The sequence below is a fragment of the Homo sapiens genome, chromosome 8, assembly GCF_000001405.40.
Source record: "Homo sapiens chromosome 8, GRCh38.p14 Primary Assembly".
NCBI lineage: Eukaryota > Metazoa > Chordata > Mammalia > Primates > Hominidae > Homo > Homo sapiens.
Window position 1 is genome coordinate 140191216 of NC_000008.11, and position 8042 is coordinate 140199257.

The window sequence follows — 8042 nt, forward strand, 5'->3', positions numbered from 1 at the left end:
GCTCACAAGAGCTGGTTGAGATCCATATTATTCTTATTTTTCAAATAAACTGAGGCTCACAGAAACTCAGTAATTTGCCAGTGGGGGATACTAATAGTGGTGAAGTCAGGTCTGACTTTAAAGCCTCATATGGTTTGGATTTATGTCCCCACCAAATCTCACGTTGACATGTAATCCCCGGTATTGGAGGTAGGTCCTAGTGGGAGGTGTCTGGATCATGAGGGACCAATCCCTCCTGAATGACTCGGCGCCATCCCTTTGGTGACAAGTGAGTTCACGTGAGATCTAGTTGTTTCAAAGTGTGTGGCACCTCCCAATCTCTCTCTTGCTCCCACTCTCGCCATGTGACACGTCGGCTCTGGCTTCACCTTTTGCCATGATTGTAAGCTTCCTGAGGCCCCACCAGAAGCCAAGCAGATGCTGGCACCATGCTTCCTGTACAGCCTGTGCAGAACCATGAGGCAATTAAACCTCTTTTCTTTACAAACTACCCAGTCTCAGGTATTTCTTTATCACAATGCAAGAACAACCTAACAGAAAGCCCAAATGCTTGCCCAGCCCCAAATTTCCCCCAATAAATACTATGCTGTCCACGAAAAGGCAGAGGTCACCGGCTAATACCCCATAGCACAGTGGAAGGAGCACAGGTCTGAGAGTCTGTAACCCTGAGTTTAAATCTCCTCCCCTACCCTTTCCAACATGACACTAACACATCACTTACTTACTTCTCTGGGCCTAGCCACCACCAAAGGGTGAGAAGCATCACTCAGGACTAAAATGAGGATTTGAAAAGATTGTGGATGGTACCTGGCATATAGCAAAAATTTGAAAAAATATGGTATCCCTTCTCTTGTTTATAAATGTTAACATCTTGAAGCTTTGGTTAAGCAAAAGACTCTAAATCAGCTGTGTTCATTTCTAATCAACCCCAGGCTTCAACACAGGTTCCCTGAACATCTATAATTTGCAAATCCAGATCCAGACAATGAAGGCCAAGCAGGCTGAGTAAATTGTCAAGCCTAAGAAAGGGTTTCGGAAAGTTAAAGCAAGGTCACAAGAGTGGCACACGTGTATTTCACTTATTTAACTGAAAATGGTTTCCCCACAGCCATGCTAGAGTGATGGGTGCCATATTCCATGGCATGATCACCTCAACGTAGGCAAAAGGACTCTGTTAGAAGAAGTCACTGGCTGACTTCTGCAGTCAACAGGCCCAATCGTCCACAGAGCAAGGTGATCTGCAGAAACCTCCTGGCACAGTGCCTGGGGCGTGTTTTCTAGCAGTAAAAACAGGCAGCATGGTGCAGGGGAGGAGCAAGCTGCCCGCCCACAGCCCTCGCACCAGCTGTGCAGTCAGGGCAGCCCCATTATGCAGAGCCTCGCTTCAATACCTGCAAAACCTGCTCCGACGAGGTTTAAGAACCAGACATAACATGAGATGCATTGAATGAACTGCTTGTCACATGGGTAACTATTAACTATTCCAACTAATCATATAAAAACTACTAGCCACTATTTATTGGATATTTTCCCCAAACACCCAAGGAATGGCTGTTTGTTTATTTAGTTATTTATTTTTTGAGATGGAGTCTCCCTCTGTGGCCTAGGCTAGAGTGCAGTGGCACAATCTTGGCTCACTGCAACCTCCACCTCCCAGGTACAAATGATTCTCCTGCCTCAGCCTCCTGAGTAGTTGGGATTACAGGCATCCACCATCACACCCGGCTAATTTTTGTATTTTGAGTGGAGATAGGGTTTCACCATGTTGGTCAGGCTGGTCTCCTGACCTCAAGTGATCCGCCCGCCTCGGCCTCCTAAAGTGCTGGGATTACAGATGTGAGCCACCATGCCCAGCTGAATGGCTGTTTAAATCTTGCAGAAGTAAAACAAGTATTTCACTGGGGAAAGACAGGTTTCAAACACCTCTGCCACATATACCTTCATTCCAGAGTTGCTTGGAGGAAATTTTCTAAATAATCTTTCAAATCCCTGGCTCATCAATCTAAAATGTGAAAATGTGTTCTGAAGTGCTTTTCTACTGGAGATATTGGCTATTTCCCCCACGGGAATAAATTTAAATTACACACTTAGAACTAAGGCCTAGATTCTTGCAGATCTAAGCTTTAAAATCATGAACACGAATTTCACCCAAACTGAGTGACCTGCCTTCAGAATAGGGAGAAGCTTCATGTTGTAGGCATTGCAAAGCCTAGCTTCTTACCTGAGTCAGCTGAATGTAAGTCTTGGATATAAATCTTCAAAGTTGAGCTGAAAACATATACTAGCACAAACTGTCCATTTTTTATATCACTGGCAAGTTTAAGAAGTTCAGATTTGAGCCAGAAGGAAAGAAATGACACTCTCCCACAAAGTTCCATAAGGGCAGAAGGGATCTTTGTACTTTCAGAAAAAAAAAAAAAAAAAAAAAAAAGCTTGGTTGGTAATTGTGCCTACTGCTAGAAAGTCCACTGGAAAGGCTGAAACCAGTCCACAGGAGGCCCGCTGTGCTAATGGGAAGAGCATGCACTTTGAGGTCAGGTGACCAAGGCCACCTCCAAGCTGTGCGATTGTGGACAAACTATCGCTGCAAATGAAGACTGTAATACCTATCTTTCAGGGCTGGTCTGAGAATGACTAGCAATGCATGCAAAGCACTCAGCACAGTGCCCAACGCAAAGAAGGCTCCCAGTATGTAGAAGCTAACACATTTTGTCATTTTGCACAAGGCAACATTCTGGGAAAAGTCCAAAAAGCAGATTCAGAAAACACAGGGTCCAGTCCCAGCTCCAGTGCTTCCTTGGAGCCACAAATTCTAATCCCGGTTTTAATCCATCATTGTAACCCTAGCGCTCCCAGGGTTGAACTCTCTGAAAATTAATTCCATCCAGACATTCTACTGCTTAAAACCCCCAGGACCACCCATTTAAAATCTAAACTCCTTAGTATGGCAAAGGCCCCTGTCTATCTTTTCCGCCTCTACATTCACTGTCCTCCTTTCTCTGCCTTCCTAACTCCTCCTATCCAGTCTCTCCCCAGCCCGCACCCCTTCACACCCCACCCACAGTCATCCCCCTCCCTCAGTATGATCTCTCTTGGATACCAAAACTGCTCAAGTCCCTGATATAAAATAGCACATCTGTATATAACCCATGCACATCCTTCTGTATAACTTACTCTCTAGATTTATTATACCTAATAAAATGTAAATGCTATGTAAATAGTTATATTGTATTATTTAGGAACTAATGATAGGAAAAATGTCTGTACATGTTCAGTACAGATGCAGTTTTTTTGCTTGAATACTTTCAATCCAAGGTCGGTTGAATCCACAGCTGTGGAACCCACATGGACACAGAGGCCAACTGTAACTGAGGCTCCTGAAATACACTAGGCACATTCTGTGCCTGGACCTAGGGCACTCGCTGACTGGAAGGTCCCAAAGGAACCTCAATACCTACTCATCTTTCAATACCCAGCTCTGGTATCAACTGTCTTTGAAGCTTTAAAATCCCTATGAGCATTTGTATGCCTACACTTACACACCCCTGACCATGTATTCTTCACAGATCACACCTGTGACACTAAAACACACTCAACAACCTATCGTACAGCTCACACCTCTGACCACTAAAACACACTCAAAGACCCACCATACAGATCGCACCTGTGACACTAAAACATAGTCAATGATCCACTATACAGCTCACACCTGTGACACTAAAACACATTCAACGATCCACTGTACAGATCACACCTGTGACACTAAAACACACTCAAGGTTCTACTGTACAGATCACACCTGTGACACTAAAAGACACTCAATGATCCACTGTACAGATCACGCCTGTGACACTAAAACACACTCAAGGATCCACCATACAGATCATACCTGTGAAACTAAAACACACTCAACGATCCACTGTACAGATCACACCTGTGACACTAAAACACACTCAAGGATCCACCGAACAGATCATACCTGTGAAACTAAAACACACTCAATGATCCACCGTACAGATAACACCTGTGACACTAAAACACACAACGATCCATCATACAGATCACACCTGTGACACCAAAACACACTCAACGATCCATCGTACAGATCACACCTGTAACACTAAAACACACTCAATGATCCACTGTACAGATCACACCTGTGATACTAAAACACTCAATGATCCATTGTACAGATCGCATCTGTGACACTAAAAAACACTCGACAATCCACCGTACAGCTCGCACCTGTGACACTAAAACAATGATCCACCATACCGCTCACATCTGTGACACTAAAACACACTCAATGATCCACTACACAGCTTGCACCTGTGACACTAAAACACACTCAACTATCCACTGTACAGATCACACCTGTGACACTAAAACACTCAGCAATCCACTGTACAGCTCGCACCTGTGACACTAAAACACACTCAATGATCCACTACACAGCTCGCACCTGTGACATTAAAACACACTCAACTATCCACTGTACAGATCACACCTGTGACACTAAAACACTCAGCAATCCACTGTACAGCTCGCACCTGTGACACTAAAACACATTGAACAATTCACATACAGACCACACCTGTGATACTAAAACACTCAATGATCCACCATACAGATCACACCTGTGACACTAAAACACACTCAACGATCCACCATACAGATCACATCTGTGACACTAAAACACACTCAACGATCCACCATACAGATCACACCTGTGACATTAAAACACACTCAACTATCCACCGTACAGATCACACCTGTGACACTAAAACACTCAGCAATCCACTGTACAGCTCACACCTGTGACACTAAAACACATTGAACAATTCACATACAGACCACACCTGTGATACTAAAACACTCAATGATCCACACCATACAGATCACACCTGTGACACTGAAACACAACGATCCACCATACAGATCACACCTGTGACACTAAAACACACTCAACGATCCACCATACAGATCACACCTGTGACACTAAAACACACTCAACGATCCACCATACAGATCACACCTGTGACACTAAAACACACTCAACGATCCACCATACAGATCACACCTGTGACACTAAAACACACTCAACGATCCACCATACAGATCACACCTGTGACACTAAAACACACTCAACGATCCACCATACAGATCACACCTGTGACACTAAAACACACTCAACGATCCACCATACAGCTCACACCTGTGACACTAAAACACACTCAACGATCCACCATACAGCTCACACCTGTGACACTAAAACACACTCAACGATCCACCATACAGATCACACCTGTGACACTAAAACACACTCAACGATCCACCATACAGATCACACCTGTGACACTAAAACACACTCAACGATCCACCATACAGATCACACCTGTGACACTAAAACACTCAACAATCCACTGTACAGATCACACCTGTAACACTAAAACACACTCAACAATCCACTGTACAGATCACACGTGTGACACAAACACACAACGATCCACTACACAGCTTGCACCTGTGACACTAAAACACACTCAATGATCCGCTATACAGCTCACACCTGTGACACTAAAACACACTCAACTATCCACTGTACAGATCGCACCTGTGACACTAAAACACATTGAACAATTCACGTACAGACCACACCTGTGATACTAAAACACTCAACGATCCACTATACAGATCATACCTGTGACATGAAAACACACACAACGATCCACGCGTGAACTCCTTTTGAGAAAATGTCATTTTATCTTTTATATCCACAGCGCATAGCAATTGCCAGGAACAGAGTAACACTCGGTAAATGTAAACTACATGCATAGGTGAGTGCATCATAGATGAATGCATGCTTCATCACTTCTCCACAGAAAACTGTGGGATTGATAACAAGTGAGGGGACTGGATCAGGACACTAGGAAGAAAAGAGGAGGAGAATAAAGTGGGCGAGGAAGAGAAGATAGAGAAAAGGAGAGAGAAGAAAGAGAAGACCTTGAGACAAATGTAGGATAATATTTTGCAAATAAAGCGGGAATGAGCTTTGGAATTGAGAACCCTAACACGAGCCGATGTTAACATAAGAGCACTGCAGTCTTAAAACACACAAATCCTTTCTTCACTTGGAGCCCCTTAAAAAGCCTGTAAAGAGGGCAGGGCAGGCGCCTCCTCCTCACTTTGCAGATGAGAGCCGTGAGGCCCAGAGCAGCACGGTGACTTTCCTAAGGAAAAGGGGCTGAGGAAATAAAGGCTGAATTCGAACCCCGGGGTGTTTTTGTTTTTTGTTTGGTTTTGTTTTGCTGTTTGGATGGTATGCAGCCCTGCTATTGAGATGCATCTGCCTCGGTATCAAGGACTATCTAGATGAAATACAGTGATGTGGGTTTTAATTTCCTCTTTCCTTACCAGATACGTATTGACATTTGGGCCACAATCCAACCCTTAGGGATATTTCATTTAATGAGCTCCCTGTTGCTTTTTAAAACAGCCATATCTCTTCAAAAGCACAGAATATAAAACAAAAGAGAACAGAACAAAAGAAAACAACGCGAGATTTGTCACGGGGGAGCCAGCACGGGCTAAAGACAAGGGCAGGGAAGGTGGTCTTTGGGGCTCAGAAAGAGCCTTTCCTTGACACTCCCAGGGCAGCTCAGATGAACTGTCCCCTGCTAACACAATAATGTTCAAGAAACGAGAGAAGGCTAGTTTTCCCCAGCACATCTTGTGCAGCAAGATGAGAAGGAAGCTTGGTGCACTGGCCATCTAGTCTCCAAGGCTCAGCTTAAGCAACACCCATTCTAGGGAAACTGTCTCTGCTTCCTCCTCAGAGCATTCACAGCATCCACAGGGTGACCCTGAAACTGCCTTTGCAAAATGATGACTGAGGCAGTAAAAGAGATCTAACTTAACTGACTCCATCTTGCTTCTAACCTCCAAGCTGTCCTTGTTCATTCCTGGGCATAGGCTGAACTAACTTTGGGAGAAACTTTATAGTTTAAACAAAGACGGTAAACAGCCCTTTCCCAAAGCAGACCTCCTCCTTGCCTGGGGACTAGACTGCCTTTGTAGTAGTAACATTAGCCACAAGATTAAAAATTATGGTTTAGGAGTCACGCAGATGGAGGCTACAAGATTCTGACCCTCCCTGAACCGCTCCTAAGATCACTGCTTGAGGTATTTTGCAAACCCTGTACTTGATGGATCAGCTGGTACCACCCAGATCGATAAACTGGCTTGTCTGATCTTGCGGCCCCCACCCAGGAACCAACTCAGCACAAGAAGACAGCTGACTCCCTATGATTTCAGCCCTGACCAATCAGCACTCCCGGCTCACTGGCTTTCACCAAGTTATCCTTAAAAACTCTGCTCCCCGAATGCCCAGGGAGACTGATTTGAGTAGTAATAAAACCGGTCTCCTGCACAGTTGGCTCTGCGTGAATTACTCTTTCTCTATTGCAATTCCCCTGTCTTAATGAATCCGCTCTGTCTAGGCAGCAGGCAAAGTGAACCCCTTGGGTGGTTACAATCGTATGGTGTCACTGTCCACTCCAAGTCTGCCTCCTCTCTGGGCTGAGATTTCCTGAATGGCAGGAACCATGTCTCTCCTCTGGTAGTCTGAGAAGTTGGCCTAGCACCAAGGACGTTCTTGTATTCAGCAAATATTTATTAGCACATTCAACGTGCCAGATACAGTGCTTGCAATGAAGGACACCACAGTGAGACGGAAAGAGGGAGACAGATGATGCCAGCACAGCAGGCTGAACGCGGCAACACCCGGCACAGGGCAAGCGGGGAGTGCGGGACTCCTGGGGGGAGCAACAGTGCAGCTGAGGCCTGGACCCCCAGGAGAATTCAGAGAGAGAGAAGAATGGGTGGAGCTGGGGAGCTGTATGGCTCACAGCTTCTCAAAGCACAGTACAAAGCAGGGCTTCTTGCACGTGAACATGCATTTGAGTCACCTGGGGGTCTGTGGAATGTGATTCCAAACTCAGGAGGTCTGGGAGGGGCCTAAGGGTCTGTATTTCCGACAGGTC

The 8042-nt window shown here is 45.1% G+C and overlaps 1 protein-coding gene across 18 annotated transcripts in view; it reads right to left on the reverse strand.

Annotated features, from left to right (window-relative positions):
* TRAPPC9 (trafficking protein particle complex subunit 9) overlaps window positions 1–8042 on the reverse strand; it is a 730855-nt gene that overhangs the window by 463491 nt on the left and 259322 nt on the right. The window lies entirely within an intron of this gene.